This window comes from Homo sapiens, chromosome 1 (assembly GCF_000001405.40).
Source record: "Homo sapiens chromosome 1, GRCh38.p14 Primary Assembly".
NCBI classification, from domain to species: Eukaryota; Metazoa; Chordata; class Mammalia; order Primates; family Hominidae; genus Homo; species Homo sapiens.
Genome location: NC_000001.11, coordinates 174,619,092 through 174,640,469, shown reverse-complemented (window position 1 = coordinate 174,640,469; position 21,378 = coordinate 174,619,092). Strand labels below are relative to the sequence as shown.

The 21,378-nt window shown below is 37.4% G+C and overlaps 1 protein-coding gene across 10 annotated transcripts in view; it reads right to left on the bottom strand.

Annotated features, from left to right (window-relative positions):
• Window positions 1–21,378, bottom strand: part of RABGAP1L (RAB GTPase activating protein 1 like) — an 835,789-nt gene that overhangs the window by 354,839 nt on the left and 459,572 nt on the right. For all 10 annotated transcript variants that reach the window (NR_158982.1, XM_011510223.3, XM_047436028.1 and 7 more), the window contains one exon: window positions 2,982–3,095. Coding sequence is in view for 9 of the 10 variants with exons in the window: in XM_011510223.3 (XP_011508525.1) it covers window positions 2,982–3,095 (114 nt within the window). In the remaining variant the exon portion in view is untranslated. The remainder of the gene's footprint in view (window positions 1–2,981; window positions 3,096–21,378) is intronic.

Sequence of the window (21,378 nt, the reverse complement as noted above, 5' to 3'; positions counted from 1 at the left end):
CCTTAAAGGTTACACACAGGCAGCTTTTGGGAATATGGGATGGGGGTCATAAAATAAAAGACTGTGGTTCAAATTGGATACAAAAAGCAAAGAAAAGTGGATGTGGAAGCTTGAGAATAATATTCCATTCTAAATTACTCATAAGTATGCTATACTAAATTACTCATAGATATGCTATCCTATTTGTGAGCTATCATCAAACTTAAGGTTTCCTGGCATGAGATACTAAATAACAGTAAATCAAGATGGGAAGGAACCGGGTCAATCACAAACCAAGCGGTCTACAGGGTAGGATGTATACATCTCTGCTCATATCCATTACCAAAGACTGTTGTGAAATTATTTTTATGTATATACAGCTCAGTACAGCATTAAAATCCTTAAAAACTTTTATTGCTTTTATTTAATACTATGTCTAATGTAATTTTGTTTTCTACATCTTCACAAAATTTAGTGTGATTTAAGCTACTTTTCGATAATAAAGTATCTCAGATATACATTTTACAATATTCTTCATTCAGAAAGAGTTTTAAAATGGTTTAGTCATGTTGTAAAATGTATACTGATAATCTAAAATGGCCACATGAGCTCTGGGAATGTACTGATGAGTATTTTCAAATGAATTCAAGGTTGCATTATTATTTGCAACACCAAATCAAAGTGTATCAACTATTTAAAAGTGCCAATCGTTCAACTTTTATTTTTGTGTTTGGTAATGTTTCAGATTATTTCCCCTCTAAATATTACATAACAAGGCAAATACTATTTTTACTACAATGGAGCAAAATGTTAAGTCAGAAGCTGCAAGCACATTAGAACCATCTGTTTTAGTTATGTGAAGAAAGTATCTAGTATCAATCAGAGAAAAGCTGAAGGGAAAGTCACTGACTGGCTGAAAATATACTATATGCTAGGGGAAAAAAATGTTGCATATGCCATAAACCAGACCCTCTTAAATAAACTTGGAAATGATATAAATTTTCCTAACCTCTTTACAAAAGCCAGTGTTAATCAGCTTGCAGAATTTCAAAGTAGTAGAAAAATGTTTTAAATAATTACTTTTGTCTTTCACAAGCATATAATGAACATATACCTTTTTTTGTGGCATCCAATGGTCTTTGGTACTTTTCAAAGTAGATGATATATCACTTTCTAAAGATCAGTATACTCTCAGATTATAAGTTATATATTTCTAGCTCTGAATGACACATTCATATAAAAATAGATTTCTAATCAGCATATATTTATAATCCTCCAAAATGGTTAGATAAAAAAATATGAGAGAGAGAAAAAGTAAGAAAAAAAGAGACAGGAGTGTGAAGAGGCCAAAACCACCAACATGCAAGGACTTTAATGAAAGTCGTGCCATTTGCAGAATTAAACATTAATCCTACTTGGTTAGAATATGTAGGTGAGTGCTTTTTTTTTTTTTTATTACACTTTAAGTTTTAGGGTACATGTGCACATTGTGCAGGTTAGATACATATGTATACATGTGCCATGCTGGTGCGCTGCACCCACTAACTCGTCATCTAGCATTAGGTATATCTCCCAATGCTATCCCTCCCCCCTCCCCCAACCCCACCACAGTCCCCAGAGTGTGATATTCCCCTTCCTGTGTCCATGTGATCTCATTGTTCAATTCCCACCTATGAGGGAGAATATGCGGTGTTTGCTTTTTTGTTCTTGCGATAGTTTACTGAGAATGATGGTTTCCAATTTCATCCATGTCCCTACAAAGGACATGAACTCATCATTTTTTATGGCTGCATAGTATTCCATGGTGTATATGTGCCACATTTTCTTAATCCAGTCTATCATTGTTGGACATTTGGGTTGGTTCCAAGTCTTTGCTATTGTGAATAATGCCGCAATAAACATACGTGTGCATGTGTCTTTACAGCAGCATGATTTATAGTCATTTGGGTATATACCAAGTAATGGGATGGCTGGGTCAAATGGTATTTCTAGTTCTAGATCCCTGAGGAATCGCCACACTGACTTCCACAATGGTTGAACTAGTTTACAGTCCCACCAACAGTGTAAAAGTGTTCCTATTTCTCCACATCCTCTTAAATGCTGGAGAAGTGAGTGCTTTTATAAGTGCTGTTTTTAAAAAACAGTAAATATAAAATGAAACAGATTTGTGAATATACTTCTTAATTCCACACTGGCTAATATTTGCTACTCATTACAAAGGCTAAATTGGATTATTCAGGAACTGATTACCTAACTTACAAATTAGCCATGATGTTTGCCTTTTTCTCCATATTATTACCAAATTTTTGTGCAGTTCATTATTCATTAACCATCTCTTTAGAATGTTAGATATCAACAATGTGAGTATACCCACCACACTTCATTCTGCATTTCTGATAAAATTAATAACTTGATGGCTATTCTATACTGACAGAGACAGAATCTTCTGTATCCAAGCAGAGCACATTTACTGAAAATCAGGAAACAGGTTTTTTCCAGGCCTACTTATAATGAGGGAGAAAAAAGATTTCAAAATGGGATATAAAAACCGTACAAAAATATATGATGTGACGTAACTCAGAATATATCAACAACATCCAATAATTTGCCAGTATTCAACAATAAGCACACTGATTCTTACACTTGCCTGTTGTCAGAAAAATGGAGACAATTGCTGCATGATCTTGTCAGAAGGACAGAGTCATCTAGGACTCTTTTGAGCTTTTATAGCATAGCCTCAGAGGACCTTTTGTTCCTTTCCTGTTAGCAGGAGAGCCAAACTGAGGCTATGCTGCGCCTCCTCCCTCATGAGGAGGCACGAAACATGCAACCGAAAAGTCACCTTCTGGGATCAGTACTGAGGATCTCATAGCGTGTGTGCAAAGCAGAAAACATGGCATAGTGCAAATAAGAAATGAAGACAGAGTAAAAAAATCCTTAAATGGGTTTCTAAAATATAGCTCTGTAAAATAATTTAGAAAAAGTGAGGAAGAGAGTCCTACCTTGCAGATCTTATAGAGCGATTCTTGACCATCTCCTCCAGTATCTTTAAAGTAATCATGTGCGGGAAATGTACGATGAATATCTCGAGTAATAACACTCTCCTGGGCTGAGTCCTAAAAAAGAAAGAAAATAGACCTGGTTATTAAATTTTTTCCCAGTTATGAAATATAATATATACACATGGTAAAAAACTCAAACAGCAAGAAAAGTAAACAACAGAAAAACATAAAAACTTCCCTTCTATCCCAGACCCATAGTCCTATACCCAAGATAAGTGCTACCAACAGCTCCTTTGTATCTTTTCACCCATCTATCTATACATATTTGTGTGTGTATGTATGTTTATATGGGGAGAAGGGGCAGGGATGGAGGGAAGTTGTATACATACATCTCCATTGAAGCAAACTAGACTGTTTCTTTCACTTAATGGGATAACATAGAGTGTTCCTTATCAAGACATGTACATATAGTTTATTCTCTGTAGGAGTGGTTACTTTTTAAAAATAAGGTATATCTGGATATAGATATATCATAATTTACTGAACATTCTCCTATTAATGACCATCTTCTTTGCATTTTTTTCTATTTATATAACAAACAATATCATAAGGAATATTTTATACATGGCTTATGCACGTGTTCAAGGATAAATTCCTTGAGGTTTAATTGCTAAGGCAAAAGTTACATGCATTTCCAATTTTGATGAATGTACTCTCTCTCTCCAGAACTGTCATTCCAATACATACTCCAAACAATAGTAGAGTATGTATTTCTCATCTGTCTAATACCACAAATTATCTAATTTTTAAATCTGACAATCTGATAAAAACTCAGACCATGGTCATTTAAAAAGTAAAAATACTGTCAATCTTTCCCAGGTTAATTACCCAACAAACTGATTCCACAAAACAGGAAGCTACAGGCTACTATATTAAGATGATCTCTTTTTTTTTTTTTTTTGAAGTAGAGTCTCACACTGTTGCCCGGGCTGGAGTACAATGGCACGATCTTGGCTCACCGCAACCTCCGCCTCCCGGGTTCAAGCGATTCTCCTGCCTCAGCCTCCCAAGTAGCTGGGATTACAGGTGCCCGCCACCACGCCCAGCTATTTTTTTTGTGTGTGTGTATTTTTAGTAGAGATGGGGTTTCACTGTGTTGGAACAGGCTGGTCTCAAACTCCTGACCTCGTGATTCACCCACTTCGACCTCCCAAAGTGCTGGGATTACAGGTGTGAAGGATGATATCTTCTTTAAAGATAAGCCTAGATATTTGTTGAAGACAAATTTAGAAACCAAAACCCCAAATTGAGTGAAATTCTAGCCTTATAAAAATGATTAAACATTCTCTTGATTTTATTTTATTCCTAGAAATGTTTATCTTTTTAAATGTCAAGAAAATAGTATGGGGCTACTTATAGCAACACTGATGGTGAAAATATTTTGTACAATTCACATCAGACTACTAATTGCAAATTAAAAGAATTGCTTAATGTCTTATTTCCATAAAGATTTGAAGAAACTTTCTCTTCAGTCTCAAATCAAGAAAGAAAAAAAGTTTAATATATGTTATTTTAATGAATGCCATTTTTCTTTCTCTTGATAGCTGCGAAGTATACAAGAAGGGGGTGGTTGATTAGCTCTAAGGTAAGCCACTACCCTTTCTTGCTGCCTTCATTTCAGTTGCTATTTCATGCTGGGTGGTAATTAGATCTTATATACAGAAAGAGAGGAAGCAAACCAAAAACTTCCAAATTTCCTAGCAAACATTGAACATATTACAAATCGATCCAGAGGAAATTCTGATGGCTTACAGGAATGAAATGCTAAACCTGAATTAAAATAGAGCCTTAAAAAATCACCATAACTTCAGTAAAAGGATACAGAGAAAATTTATATTTGCCAAGGTAAATGTAGTTTCTAATGATAAAGAAAACTGCAGGGTGGGGTGGGGGTATAGAATAAGGTAAGTATAAAGGTATTATATAAAGTGATATATTATGAAACATTTCTTTTATCTTGTCTGGAGTCTTGAGTACAAAAATCTGGTAACCAGGCAAACCAAAGTTTTCACTGCCAGGTTTTCTCCAACAGAAGAGCTCTCTTCCGATAAGTTAATAGTTTCCACTTATAAACTACCTGAAAGATGAGGAATAAAAATGTTACTACTGCCATTGCTGAAATATTTCAGGGGTAAATATGTGCCTATTGGCCCGCAGGATAACTCTTTTTGTACTTTTCAGGACATTAAGAGAGAGAAATCGTTGGACTGTATTCCCTAGGAACTGATTATGCATTTAGCATTATGCTGTGTTTAAATGGTTCCAATAGTCTGATTCAGGAAAAGAAAAATTGGTAAAAAGAAAAAAATCTAGAGAGTAAATTTGCCTAACACTGAGTAATTTTTTTCTTTTTTTTCTTTTTTTATTTTTTTATTTTATTATTATTTTATTTTTTATTATACTTTAAGTTTTAGGGTACATGTGCACATTGTGCAGGTTAGATACATATGTATACATGTGCCATGCTGGTGCGCTGCACCCACTAACTCGTCATCTAGCATTAGGTATATCTCCCAATGCTATCCCTCCCCCCTCCCCCCACCCCACCACAGTCCCCAGAGTGTGATATTCCCCTTCCTGTGTCCATGTGATCTCATTGTTCAATTCCCACCTATGAGGGAGAATATGCGGTGTTTGCTTTTTTGTTCTTGCAATAGTTTACTGAGAATGATGGTTTCCAATTTCATCCATGTCCCTACAAAGGACATGAACTCATCATTTTTTATGGCTGCATAGTATTCCATGGTGTATATGTGCCACATTTTCTTAATCCAGTCTATCATTGTTGGACATTTGGGTTGGTTCCAAGTCTTTGCTATTGTGAATAATGCCGCAATAAACATACGTGTGCATGTGTCTTTATAGCAGCATGATTTATAGTCATTTGGGTATATACCCAGTAAGGGATGGCTGGGTCAAATGGTATTTCTAGTTCTAGATCCCTGAGGAATCGCCACACTGACTTCCACAATGGTTGAACTAGTTTACAGTCCCACCAACAGTGTAAAAGTGTTCCTATTTCTCCACATCCTCTCCAGCACCTGTTGTTTCCTGACTTTTTAATGATTGCCATTCTAACTGGTGTGAGATGATATCTCATAGTGGTTTTGATTTGCATTTCTCTGATGGCCAGTGATGATGAGCATTTTTTCATGTGTTTTTTGGCTGCATAAATGTCTTCTTTTGAGAAGTGTCTGTTCATGTCCTTCGCCCACTTTTTGATGGGTTGTTTGTTTTTTTCTTGTAAATTTGTTTGAGTTCATTGTAGATTCTGGATATTAGCCCTTTGTCAGATGAGTAGGTTGCGAAAATTTTCTCCCATTCTGTAGGTTGCCTGTTCACTCTGATGGTAGTTTCTTTTGCTGTGCAGAAGCTCTTTAGTTTAATTAGATCCCATTTGTCAATTTTGTCTTTTGTTGCCATTGCTTTTGGTGTTTTGGACATGAAGTCCTTGCCCACGCCTATGTCCTGAATGGTAATGCCTAGGTTTTCTTCTAGGGTTTTTATGGTTTTAGGTCTAACGTTTAAATCTTTAATCCATCTTGAATTGATTTTTGTATAAGGTGTAAGGAAGGGATCCAGTTTCAGCTTTCTACATATGGCTAGCCAGTTTTCCCAGCACCATTTATTAAATAGGGAATCCTTTCCCCACTGCTTGTTTTTCTCAGGTTTGTCAAAGATCAGATAGTTGTAGGTATGCAGCGTTATTTCTGAGGGCTCTGTTCTGTTCCATTGATCTATATCTCTGTTTTGGTACCACTACCATGCTGTTTTGGTTACTGTAGCCTTGTAGTATAGTTTGAAGTCAGGTAGTGTGCTGCCTCCAGCTTTGTTCTTTTGGCTTAGGATTGACTTGGTGATGCAGGCTCTTTTTTGGTTCCATATGAACTTTAAAGTAGTTTTTTCCAATTCTGTGAAGAAAGTCATTGGTAGCTTGATGGGGATGGCACTGAATCTATAAATTACCTTGGGCAGTATGGCCATTTTCACGATATTGATTCTTCCTACTCATGAGCATGGAATGTTCTTCCATTTGTTTGTATCCTCTTTTATTTCCTTGAGCAGTGGTTTGTAGTTCTCCTTGAAGAGGTCCTTCACATCCCTTGTAAGTTGGATTCCTAGGTATTTTATTCTCTTTGAAGCAATTGTGAATGGGAGTTCACTCATGATTTGGCTCTCTGTTTGTCTGTTGTTGGTGTATAAGAATGCTTGTGATTTTTGTACATTGATTTTGTATCCTGAGACTTTGCTGAAGTTGCTTATCAGCTTAAGGAGATTTTGGGCTGAGACGATGGGGTTTTCTAGATAAACAATCATATCATCTGCAAACAGGGACAATTTGACTTCCTCTTTTCCTAATTGAATACCCTTTATTTCCTTCTCCTGCCTGACTGCCCTGGCCAGAACTTCCAAAGATGGGGAAAAAACAGAACAGAAAAACTGGAAACTCTAAAACGCAGAGCGCCTCTCCTCCTCCAAAGGAACGCAGTTCCTCACCAGCAACGGAACAAAGCCGGATGGAGAATGATTTTGACGAGCTGAGAGAAGAAGGCTTCAGACGATCAAATTACTCTGAGCTACGGGAGGACATTCAAACCAAAGGCAAAGAAGTTGAAAACTTTGAAAAAAATTTAGAAGAATGTATAACTAGAATAACCAATACAGAGAAGTGCTTAAAGGAGCTGATGGAGCTGAAAACCAAGGCTCGAGAACTACGTGAAGAATGCAGAAGCCTCAGGAGCCGATGCGATCAACTGGAAGAAAGGGTATCAGTGATGGAAGATGAAATGAATGAAATGAAGCGAGAAGGGAAGTTTAGAGAAAAAAGAATAAAAAGAAATGAGCAAAGCCTCCAAGAAATATGCGACTATGTGAAAAGACCAAATCTACGTCTGATTGGTGTACCTCAAAGTGATGCAGAGAATGGAACCAAGTTGGAAAACACTCTGCAGGATATTATCCAGGAGAACTTCCCCAATCTAGCAAGGCAGGCCAACATTCAGATTCAGGAAATACAGAGAATGCCACAAAGATACTCCTCGAGAAGAGCAACTCCAAGACACATAATTCTCAGATTCACCAAAGTTGAAATGAAGGAAAAAATGTTAAGGCAGCCAGAGAGAAAGGTCGGGTTACCCTCAAAGGGAAGCCCATCAGACTAACAGCGGATCTCTCGGCAGAAACCCTACAAGCCAGAAGAGAGTGGGGGCCAATATTCAACATTCTTAAAGAAAAGAATTTTCAACCCAGAATTTCATATCCAGCCAAACTAAGCTTCATAAGTGAAGGAGAAATAAAATACTTTACAGACAAGCAAATGCTGACAGATTTTGTCACCACCAGGCCTGCCCTAAAAGAGCTCCTGAAGGAAGCGCTAAACATGGAAAGGAACAACCGGTACCAGCCGCTGCAAAATCATGCCAAAATGTAAAGACCATCGAGACTAGGAAGAAACTGCATCAACTAACGAGCAAAATCACCAGCTAACATCATAATGACAGGATCAAATTCACACATAACAATATTAACTTTAAATGTAAATGGACTAAATTCTCCAATTAAAAGACACAGACTGGCAAATTGGATAAAGAGTCAGGACCCATCAGTGTGCTGTATTCAGGAAACCCATCTCACGTGCAGAGACATACATAGGCTCAAAATAAAAGGATGGAGGAAGATCTACCAAGCAAATGGAAAACAAAAAAAGGCAGGGGTTGCAATCCTAGTCTCTGATAAAACAGACTTTAAACCAACAAAGATCAAAAGAGACAAAGAAGGCCATTACATAATGGTAAAGGGATCAATTCAACAAGAGGAGCTAACTATCCTAAATATATATGCACCCAATACAGGAGCACCCAGATTCATAAAGCAAGTCCTGAGTGACCTACAAAGAGACTTAGACTCCCACACATTAATAATGGGAGACTTTAACACCCCACTGTCAACATTAGACAGATCAATGAGACAGAAAGTCAACAAGGATACCCAGGAATTGAACTCAGCTCTGCACCAAGCAGACCTAATAGACATCTACAGAACTCTCCACCCCAATTCAACAGAATATACATTTTTTTCAGCACCACACCACACCTATTCCATAATTGACCACATAGTTGGAAGTAAAGCTCTCCTCAGCAAATGTAAAAGAACAGAAATTATAACAAACTATCTCTCAGACCACAGTGCAATCAAACTAGAACTCAGGATTAAGAATCTCACTCAAAGCCGCTCAACTACATGGAAACTGAACAACCTGCTCCTGAATGACTACTGGGTACATAACGAAATGAAGGCAGAAATAAAGATGTTCTTTGAAACCAACGAGAACAAAGACACAACATACCAGAATCTCTGGGACACATTCAAAGCACTGTGTAGAGGGAAATTTATAGCACTAAATGCCCACAAGAGAAAGCAGGAAAGATCCAAAATTGACACCCTAACATCACAATTAAAAGAACTAGAAAAGCAAGAGCAAACACATTCAAAAGCTAGCAGAAGGCAAGAAATAACTAAAATCAGAGCACAACTGAAGGAAATAGAGACACAAAAAACCCTTCAAAAAATCAATGAATCCAGGAGCTGGTTTTTTGAAAGGATCAACAAAATTGATAGACCACTAGCAAGACTAATAAAGAAAAAAAGAGAGAAGAATCAAATAGATGCAATAAAAAATGATAAAGGGGATATCACCACCGATCCCACAGAAATACAAACTACCATCAGAGAATACTACAAACACCTCTACACAAATAAACTAGAAAATCTAGAAGAAATGGATACATTCCTCGACACATACACTCTCCCAAGACTAAACCAGGAAGAAGTTGAATCTCTGAATAGACCAATAACAGGAGCTGAAATTGTGGCAATAATCAATAGTTTACCAACCAAAAAGAGTCCAGGACCAGATGGATTCACAGCTGAATTCTACCAGAGGTACAAGGAGGAACTGGTACCATTCCTTCTGAAACTATTCCAATCAATAGAAAAAGAGGGAATCCTCCCTAACTCATTTTATGAGGCCAGCATCATTCTGATACCAAAGCCAGGCAGAGACACAACCAAAAAAGAGAATTTTAGACCAATATCCTTGATGAACATTGATGCAAAAATCCTCAATAAAATACTGGCAAACCGAATCCAGCAGCACATCAAAAAGCTTATCCACCATGATCAAGTGGGCTTCATCCCTGGGATGCAAGGCTGGTTCAATATACGCAAATCAATAAATGTAATCCAGCATATAAACAGAGCCAAAGACAAAAACCACGATTATCTCAATAGATGCCGAAAAAGCCTTTGACAAAATTCAACAACCCTTCATGCTAAAAACTCTCAATAAATTAGGTATTGATGGGACGTATTTCAAAATAATAAGAGCTATCTATGACAAACCCACAGCCAATATCATACTGAATGGGCAAAAACTGGAAGCATTCCCTTTGAAAACTGGCACAAGACAGGGATGCCCTCTCTCACCGCTCCTATTCAATACTGAGTAATTTTTTTCTATGCACACTTGACCTTCCATATTTAAGAAATAAAGGACAAAATCAAATGAAAATAAAATCACCTTGTCCTTACTTAATAAAATTTCCTGGCCAGGCGCGATGGCTCACGCCTGTAATCCCAGCACTTTGGGAGGCTGAGGCGGGCGGATTGCCTGAGCTCAGGACTTCGAGACCAGCCTGGCAACACGGTGAAACCCAGTCTCTACTAAAAAATACAAAAAATTAGCCCGGCATGGTAGCACATGCCTGTAATCCCAGCTACTCAGGAGGCTGAGGCAGGAGAATCGCTTGAACCTGGGAAGTGGAGGTTGCAGTGAGCCGAGATCGTGCCACTGGGCGACAGAGCGAGACTCCGTCTCAAAAAAAAAATTAATTAAAATAAAATTCCCCTTCCTAGGATTACTTTTAAATGTTTAATACATATGTGTTCCTAGAGTTTTCTTCTTATACAGTGCTCTCATTTGGCTAAGGGAATAATTTCTAGAACTTCACTTTATAGACTAAATAAGGTATTTTGCTACATTAGTCACTGATCCATCTCATATAAGTAAAGGTCAACAGATAGAACAGATTCTCGTAAACAGCCTAATAGGAATGAAATTGTGTACTGAACTTGTGAAAATCAAAAGAAAATAATTGTGTTTTTGAAGCAAAAGCTAATGTCAACCCACCTTCCAATTACCCATAACAGTTGAGAGTAGAAAGAGTTTATGTTTCAGGAATGCACATCTAATCATCCAAATTCACTCACTCACTCATTCAACAAATATTTGAGTCAAGAAAGTTACAAAACCTAACATTCTGCAAAAGGAAAACAAAACAATTTTTCTCCTCAATATTAATTCCTTTCTTTTTAGACTTATTCTGATTGTAGTGGTCAATTTTTACAAGAAATATAATGAAGAAAGAGGAAGGACAAAAAGAGGCTCAATAATTCATCATCTAAATATCTGGAGCTAAGGGCTTTCTTATGATATTTTATTTTTATATGGCTGAAAACATTTTATAGCACAACCAAAACTGATATGAATTCATTTTCTGAGAAGATTCCCATATATGCACGGGCTCCCTAAGTCCTGCCAGTTTTCTCCAGAATGAGAAGAGGGAACAAGTCATTCCTTTAGGGCAGCCACTTCACTAATATCTAGACGCATAAATTGCTCCACAACTTACTTCTCAGCAGGTGTATCTCCCATTTTGTACCTCAGAGTCCAATACGATATTATAATGGCCTTGAAGCCAGATAAACTCATTGATTCTATTTCCACTTTCCTCACTTAATTCCTATAGGATCTCAGACAAGTTATTTAATCTTGCTAAACTACAGTTTCCTCATGTGTAAAATGGGATGATAATATCAAATGCATAATGTTACTTAAAATAACATTATTTAGAATGTATGTGAAGTACTTAGCATATTGCCTAGTATAAACTGAGTACTTGTTAAATAAATAAAATTATTAATTAATGACAAGAAATATTTTTCCCATTTCCATAAGAACCATTATTCAACTGTTTAAAATTTTCGGTGAATATACATTTTAGACATCCTTCTGTATCTGTATACCTAAATAAACAACTGTTTTCTGTTACATTATGATTATGAAACCAATTCCTTTAGAGATTTACAACACAATGATGGATTAATGCACACACACTCTGTTTAATTTCCAATCATGTATTTTATGTGTCCTAAATTACCCTTTTTTCTATGAATCCATTCATAAAAGCAACAGTGAACAACTATTCAGATAAAGTACTGCTTTTATCAACTAATACACACTCTGGCCCCAGCTTTGCATGTAACCCACACAATAAAGAAAGATGTACACAAATATGTCCAGAAGAAGGATAGGAAGGACAGGGTACAGTAGAATCTAAATTTGCCAGAGCAGTCACCATTTCCATCATTACTTTAGAATTTAGCTTTTAAAGATAAAAAATAGTTGAAGTCATGTATGGAAAGGACAAAAACCACTATCACAAGTATATGCCTCCTTTCTGGACCATCACCACCAAGAATGTAACTCATAGGCAAAGTTCTTGAGAGTATCCTTTCTCCTGCCTCTGTCAGGTTGGTCTATAAACAAAAGCTGACTCAGATCACAAAGTAGAAAGAAGTTTGTCATAAAGTCTGAAAAACTGAGTTACATCTCCCATACCCCATGCCCTTGACATTATCATCACAGAGAAACTAAATCTGCCTTTCAAGGGTTCTCTTTAATTTCCAAACCATTAGGTAGTAAGACTAAACTTATTCTCAAAAAAAGACATTGATCTCTACTGGATAAAATCATAGTCCAGCAGAGAATACAATTTAGCTTGTTGAAGATCAGCTTAAAATCAACTCTATGAGATATAAGCAGCTTGCTTAACTTTTGATCAATTTAAAGTAGGTTCAATTTAGTGCCTGTTATCAAGAGTATTACATGAACTGTTCTCCCAGTATAACGTATATACACTGACATGTTTGCAATTCTCTTAATTCTTTTTCAAAGAGAATCATCACTTACTTGCTCATTGTGAGAAAGAAATGAATGCAGCATTGAAGTGTCAACAAGCATTAGGAAGACAGCTTTGTATGACCACAGCCTATTATTTTTTATGACCAATTTCTGGGCTGTCAACAACTAGAAAGGTATTTTAGTGAGGAAGACTGTTTTCAAATGTAACCTTAGCAGCGGCTGAAGTGTAAAAGTAATATCCTGTCAAATGAACACTGTGTACCTTGATTTGCCACATTTTAAAAACTGTGACAGCATCTTTTTTTATTAATCCCTATTATCAAATCCAAAGTATAAGCTGTATTTTCACTTTAAATCTACCACAAAATCATTTCAACTTTATAAGTATTATACCGTACCAATCTGTTAGTGCCATTAAAAATGCCAGTATAGACTGTCCCTAGCACAATCAGTAGGCAGATAAATAATTCAAAGCTGAAAAACTCTTTGACCTCAGACTTTGCCTTCTATTCTTACTCCACAGGGAGCCTCCTTTAGTTCTATGTTGGATGATAAAACATCACAAATTGGTCTGCTAACATGTTCCTGAAAGCAGATGGGTTTGCAGTGGTCGGTCTGATTTATTCACCTTGATGTTTGCCAAAAATCCATAGAGGCAGAGATGAAAAGAGAAAATATAAAAGTGTACTCTAGTTGCAAACATGCTACTAAAATCATGAACTAGAGACAATAATACAAAAGGGCTGGATCATTGCCAGCCTTTGTTCCTTGAATATGGGGTGGGGGGAGTCTTAAGTGTGGAAATACAGAAGCAAAGGAAAAAACCTCAATAAAATCATATTGTGAACAAACTGCTTCCCAGTCACTGCACACAAATGCTGCCAAACACTTCAGAATCAAAGCCAGACACAATGGTCAAAAATATAAGCCATATTCTAGCTTCAGGTAGAAATAAATCTCTTCAGGGAAAGAAGCTACAATGAGAACTAAAGGGAGGCGTGTAGAGAGGAGAGGACGAAGCGTATTTCGAGAGCAGTCAATATTCATGATGTGTACCTTGTTCTTGAAGGAAGTGCTGGGATTCCAGTGGAAAATACTTGAATAGAACAAAGCATTCTTTAAAGACTATAAGACTAGGAGGCACTGAGGCCTATGGGCATAGCCTGGATTTCCCACAGATTCTAAGTAATCTAGGTCAGAGTTCCAGATGACTGTCTACCACAAACATGTGGGGTTAGACTCCAGTTACACCTACCCAATACTCCTGTGGTCACATTTGGATATGCCTTCGTTCTCAGGGTTGCTGACTGTTCATTGTCCCAACTGGGGAACTTGACATTTTTGGAATTAATATCAACAGGCAATAATGAAACCTGCAACTCCTTTTAGGATAAAGCACCATAGCTGAAATCCATGCTGTTACTTTCCGAAGTTATAAATATTTCTCATTTTGCATTATCTTTAAAATTGTGATTTTTATCAAAACAGCTCTTTGAACTCTTTTGAAATACATACAAATTTTAAGAAAGAGCTCCATGTTTATTATCCACTGTATAAAAATAATATTCCTTTACTTCTCTGAAAAACTTTTAAAGAGTGCTTCGATAAAACTAGGGTTTGAGAAACATGCCTATTTTAACCTAATTATTACAGTTTATAATTTTATAACTTTGACCATGTGTGCATCCATATATGGCCAAAGTTAATAATTATTTTTATAAGCTGAATAATTTTTAGTAATTTTAGAAAACATTCTACCACTTCCTCAATCACTTTAGATGCTTCTCTTTGAAATTCTTCAAGCTCAATTATGTTTTCATAAATTGAATAATACAAAAAGTGACTGTAAGGCCAGATGCATTGGCTCACACCTGTAATCCCAGCACCTTGGTAGGCTGAGATGGGAGGATCACTTGAGCCCAGGAGGCGAGGCTCCAGTGATCTGAGATCATGCCACTGCACTCCAGCCTGGGCAACAGAGTAAGGCCCACTCTGAAAACAAACAAACACACACACACTACCCCACAAAAAGTGAACGTATATAAAAATTAAGCTTTCTGTTTGCTGAATAGTACAAACTCATTCATGTATTCAACAAAAACTTTTCTTAGCACTTACTAAGAATCAGGCACTATTCTAGATGTAGAAGATATAACTGTTAGCAAGAATAAGTCTCTGACTCTACGGAGCCTATAATCTGGTAGTAGGGAAGAAAGACATTAAGCATATAATGTTGATTGGTTAGTAAAAAGTAATATAAAAATAAAGCAAGATAGGCCAGGCACAGTTGCTCATGCCTGTAATCCCAGCACTTTGGGAGGCAGAGGTGGGTGGATCATGAGATCAGGAGTTGAAGACCAGCCTGGCCAAGATGGTGAAACCCCGTCTCTACTAAAAAAATACAAAAATTAGCCAGGTGTGGTGTCAGGTGCCTGTAATCCCAACTACTTGGGAGGCTGAGGCAGGAGAATCGCTTGAACTCAGGGGGGCGGAGGTTGCAGTGAACCAAGACTGCGCCACTGCACTCCAGCCTGGGTGACAGAGTAAGACTCCATCCAAAAAAAAAAAAAAAAGGCAAGATAAAGAGATAGTGAGGAAAGGGCTGACCTATTAGGTAGGGTGGTTTTGCCTCTCTGAGTGAGATTATTTAGAGAAATATTTAGAGAAAGAGTGTTACAGTCAGAGGGGAAAGCAATGTGAAAGGCCCTGAAGTGGAAGTGGAATGGCAATACTTCTCTTACCATTTTCCATCATTTTTCTGACCTTTATGTTTCCAGTGTCTTCAATGAATTGCCAAAAATGATTCCAATATTTTTCTGGATTAACTTACCTCAGAAATTTATAAGTATAATTTACATCATTTTTACAAGATGATTTAATTCATATATTTGAATAATATACTCCTACTTGCAAGTCTATATGAAAACTTCCCATTCAAATATTTATTTAACATTTGTTATGTGCAAGACATTGTAATAGGATCTGGGGGCTCAAAAAAACACAGGGCATAGTCCATTATTTCCTTAAATTGCAAAAGGCTTAAGATCAACTTGTAAAGACAAGATATAGGTATACATATCAATGGAAAGAAATATATGCTAACAGCCAAAAAAAACTATATGGGCAATGTTAGCTATGGGAAATCAGTGGAGAATGTCTGCAAAAGTGGTAAAGTGGTGAAAGTGGCCTTCCACAGGAGATGGGGCCTGGGCTGGGCTCAACAAAACCTACAGATCATGAGTGAATATATTAACAGCGAGTGTGGTATAAACAAACCCTCCAAAGCAGGAAAGCACTTGGCATGCCCAGTAGATGTGACTCTAATTGACTGCAGAAGGGAATTCATAAAAGAACAAGTTGAGAGAGAACCAGGATACAGAAAGGTGATTTTCAATGCAAACACTTTAACTTAATCCTGTGGACAATATGGAGCCATTTCATCTGTCATAGTCTCTGAAGTCTCAGTTTTGTTAAGCCATTGGTTCCAGTTTGGTTTCATCTGCTTTTACTATCTGAATGACATAGAGTGTAGTGAAAAATTAACCTTACTCAAAGAGAAGTTTGGCCTTTGCCACTGGCTAGTAATAGGTGACTTCTAGCCCATGGAACATCATGCCTGATGAGGGGGGTCCAAGGCATGGGGGCCTTGGACACTGAATAGTCTAACAATGTTATTTATGACTAAGACTTTGGACCATGCCATACAAGTTTTACCTACAGAGAGGCCGGAGAATAAAGGTCAGCCACATAGGTAATATGTGACAGAGCCTCAACAAAAAATCTGGGCAACAAGGATTGGGTGAGCTTCCCTAGCTGGCAGTACTCCACGTGTATTATCAAACACTGATGCCAGAAAAGTAACATCCATTACTCATGGGGAGAGGACAAAGGAAGCTCCATATTTGGTGCTTCTCCTGGACTCAACCCTTTGTGTTTCTTCCCTTGGCTGGCTTTAATCTCTATTCTATAGTTGTAATACACTGTAACTATGAGTATAACAGCTTTCTGTCAGCTTCCATGAGCATGTTTAATTAATTATGAACTTAAGGGTGGTTTTGGTAACTCCCTGAATTTACAACTGGTGTCAGAACTGAGGGCAGTGTGGATTGTGTTCTCCCTAACTTGCTGTTGGTTAGACTCCACAAATTGGCCATCAAAAAATTTGAAGATCTCACTGTGGTATTCTCACGAGTAAATTTTCTCTATTTAGATATACGTATCATTGTTCAACTTTTCCTCTGACATTAACAAAATATTATTCATAATAAAATAGTTCCTCAAGACTGTGTTAATTATGAAAACTTTCTAAAAATAACCTTTAATGTAGAACCTCCAAAGCTAAATATATTAGAACCACTGTTGACCATTTTACCACTTGTTCACTGAGGTTGTGAAAAATCTGTATCAGATCAGTGCAAGGAAGAATATTAAGTGAAAAGTTGATCACATAACTATTAAAATGATCTTGGAAATTCCTTTTCATAAAGTACCACCTGAAACTTCAAAGAAAAGTGAATGCATTCCAGTCGCTAATTCATTTCAAAAAAATTGAATAATAACTACATACCTACAAAAATTTCGGTATTTTTTAAAATATACTTTAAGTTTTAGGGTACATGTGCACAACGTGCAGGTTAGTTACATATGTATACATGTGCCATGCTGGTGTGCTGCACCCATTAACTCGTCATTTAGCATTAGGTATATTTCCTAATGCTATCCCTCCTGCCTTCCCTCACTCCACAACAGACCCCGGAGTGTGATGTTCCCCTTCCTGTGTCCATGTGTTCTCATTGTTCAATTCCCACCTATGAGTGAGAACATGCGGTGTTTGGTTTTCTGTCCTTGTGACAGTTTGCTGAGAATGATGGTTTCCAACTTCATCCATGTCCCTACAAAGGACATGAACTCATCATATTTTATGGCTGCATAGTATTCCATGGTGTATATGTGCCACATTTTCTTAATCCAGTCTATCATTGTTGGACATTTGGGTTGGTTCCAAGTCTTTGCTATTGTGAATAGTGCCGCAATAAACATACGTGTGCATGTGTCTTTACACCATCATGATTTATAGTCCTTTGGGTATATACCCAGTAATGGGATGGCTGGGTCAAATGGTATTCCTAGTTCTAGATCCTTGAGGAATCACCACACTGACTTCCACAATGGTTGAACTAGTTTACAGTCCCACCAACACTGTAAAAGTGTTCCTATTTCTCCACATCCTCTCCAGCACCTGTTCTTTCCTGACTTTTTAATGATCACCATTCTAACCGGTGTGAGATGGTATCTCATTGTGGTTTTGATTTGCATTTCTCTGATGGCCAGTGATGATGAGCATTTTTTCATGTGTCTCTTGGCTGCATAAATGTCTTCTTTTGAGAACTGTCTATTCATATCCTTCGCCCACTCTTTGATGGGGTTGTTTGCTTTTTGTTTGTAGATTTGTTAGAGTTCATTGTAGATTCTGGATATTAGCCCTTTGTCAGATGAGTAGATGGCAAAAATTTTCTCCCATTTTGTAGGTTGCCTGTTCACTCTGATGGTAGTTTCTTTTGCTGTGCAGAAGCTCTTTAGTTTAATTAGATCCCATTTGTCAATTCTGGCTTTTGTTGCCATTACTTTTTGTGTTTTAGACATGAAGTCCTTGCCCATGCCTATGTCCTCAATGGTATTGCCTAGGTTTTCTTCTAGGGTTTTTATGGTTTTAGGTCTAACGTTTAAGTCTTTAATCCATCTTGAATTAATTTTTGTATAAGGTGTAAGGAAGGGATCCAGTTTCAGCTTTCTACATATGGCTAGCCAGTTTTCCCAACACCATTTATTAAATAGGGAATCCTTTCCCCATTGCTTGTTTTTCTCAGGTTTGTCAAAGATCAGATGGTTTAGATATGCCGTGTTACTTCTGAGGGCTCTGTTCTGTTCCATTGGTCTATATCTCTGTTTTGCTACCAGTACCATGCTGTTTTGGTTACTGTAGCCTTGTAGTATAGTTTGAAGTCAGGTAGCTTGATGCCTCCAGCTTTGTTCTTTTGGCTTAGGATTGAATTGGCAGTGCAGGTTCATTTTTGGTTCCATATGAACTTTAAAGTAGTTTTCTCCAGTTCTGTGAAGAAAGTCATTGGTAGCTTGATGGGGATGGCATTGAATCTATAAATTACCTTGGGGAGTATGGCCATTTTCACGATATTGATTCTTCCTACCCATGAGCATGGAATGTTCTTCCATTTGTTTGTATCCTCTTTTATTTCCTTGAGCAGTGGTTTGTAGTTCTCCTTGAAGAGGTCCTTCATGTCCCTTGTAAGTTGGATTCCTAGGTATTTTATTCTCTTTGAAGCAATTATGAATGGGAGTTCTTCCTGGTTTAGTCTTGGGAGGGTGTATGTGTCGAGGAATTTATCCATTTCTTCTAGATTTTCTAGTTTATTTGTGTAGAGGTATTTGTAGTATTCTCTGATGGTAGTTTGTATTTCTGTGGGATCGGTGGTGATATCCCCTTTATCATTTTTTATTGCGTCTATTTGATTCTTCTCTCTTTTCTTCTTTATTAGTCTTGCTAGTGGTCTATCAATTTTGTTGATCCTTTCAAAAAACCAGCTCCTGTATTCATTGATTTTTTGAAGGGTTTTTTGTGTCTCTATTTCCTTCATTTCTGCTCTGATCTTAGTTATATTTTGCCTTCCGCTAGCTTTTGAATGTGTTTCATCTTGCTTCTCTAGTTCTTTTAATTGTGATGTTAGGGTGTCAATTTTAGATCTTTCCTGCTTTCTCTTGTGGGTATTTAGTGCCATAAATTTCCCTCTATACACTGCTTTGAATGTGTCCCAGAGATTCTGGTACGTTGTGTCTTTGTTCTCGTTGGTTTCAAAGAACATCTTTATTTCTGCCTTCATTTCGTTATGTACCTGGCAGTCATTCAGGAGCAGGTTGTTCAGTTTCCATGTAGTTGAGTGATTTTGAGTGAGTGTCTTAATCCTGAGTTCTAGTTTGATTGCACTGTGGTCTGAGAGACAGTTTGTTATAATTTCTGTTCTTTTACATTTGCTGAGGAGTGCTTTACTTCCAACTATGTGGTCAATTATGGACTAGGTGTGGTGTGGTGCTGAAAAGAATGTATATTCTGTTGATTTGGGGTGAAGAGTTCTGCAGATGGCTGTTAGGTCTGCTTGGTGCAGAGCTGAGTTCAATTCCTGGATATCCTTGTTAACTTTCTGTCTCATTGATCTGTCTAATGTGGACAGTGGGGTGTTAAAGTCTCCCATTATTATTGTGTGGGAGTCTAAGTCTCTTGCAGGTCTCTAACGGCTTCCATTATGAATCTGGGTGCTCCTGTATTGGGTGCATATATATTTAGGATAGTTATTCTTGTTGAATTGATCCCTTTACCATTATGTAATGGCCTTCTTTGTCTCTTTTGATCTTTGTTGGTGTAAAGTCTGTTTTATCAGAGACTAGGATTGCAACCCGTACCTTTTTTTGTTTTCCATTTCCTTGGTAGATCTTCCTCCGTCCCTTATTGTGAGCCTATGTGTGTCTCTGCACGTGAGATGGGTTTCCTGAATACAGCACACTGATGGGTCCTGACTCTTTATCCAATTTGCCAGTCTGTGTCTTTTAATTGGAGCATTTATTCCATTTACATGTAAAGTTAATATTGTTATCTGTGAATTTGATCCTGTCATTATGATGTTAGGTGGTTATTTTGCTTGTTAGTTGATGCAGTTTCTTCCTAGCCTCGATGGTCTTTACAATTTGGCATGATTTTGCAGTGGCTGGTACTGTTTGTTCCTTTCCATGTTTAGCGCTTCCTTCAGGAGCTCTTTTAGGGCAGGCCTGGTGGTGACAAAATCTCTCAGCATTTGCTTGTCTGTAAAGGAGTTTATTTCTCCTTCACTTATGAAGCTTAGTTTGGCTGGATATGAAATTCTGGGCTGAAAATTCTTTTCTTTAAGAATGTTGAATATTGGCCCCCACTCTCTTCTGGCTTGTAGACTTTCTGCCGAGAGATCTGCTGTTAGTCTGATGGGCTTCCCTTTGTGGGTAACCCAACCTTCCTCTCTGGCTGCCCTTAACATTTTTTCCTTCATTTCCACTGTGGTGAATCTGACAATTATGTGTCTTAGAGTTGCTCTTCTCGAGGAGTATCTTTGTGGCATTCTCTATATTTCCTGAATCTGAATGTTGCCTGCCTTGCTAGATTGGGGAAGTTCTCCTGGATAATATCCTGCAGAGTGTTTTCCAACTTGGTTCCATTCTCCCCGTCGCTTTCAGGTACACCTGTCACACGTAGATTTGGTCGTTTCACATAGTCCCATATTTCTTGGAGGCTTTGTTCATTTCTTTTTATTCTTT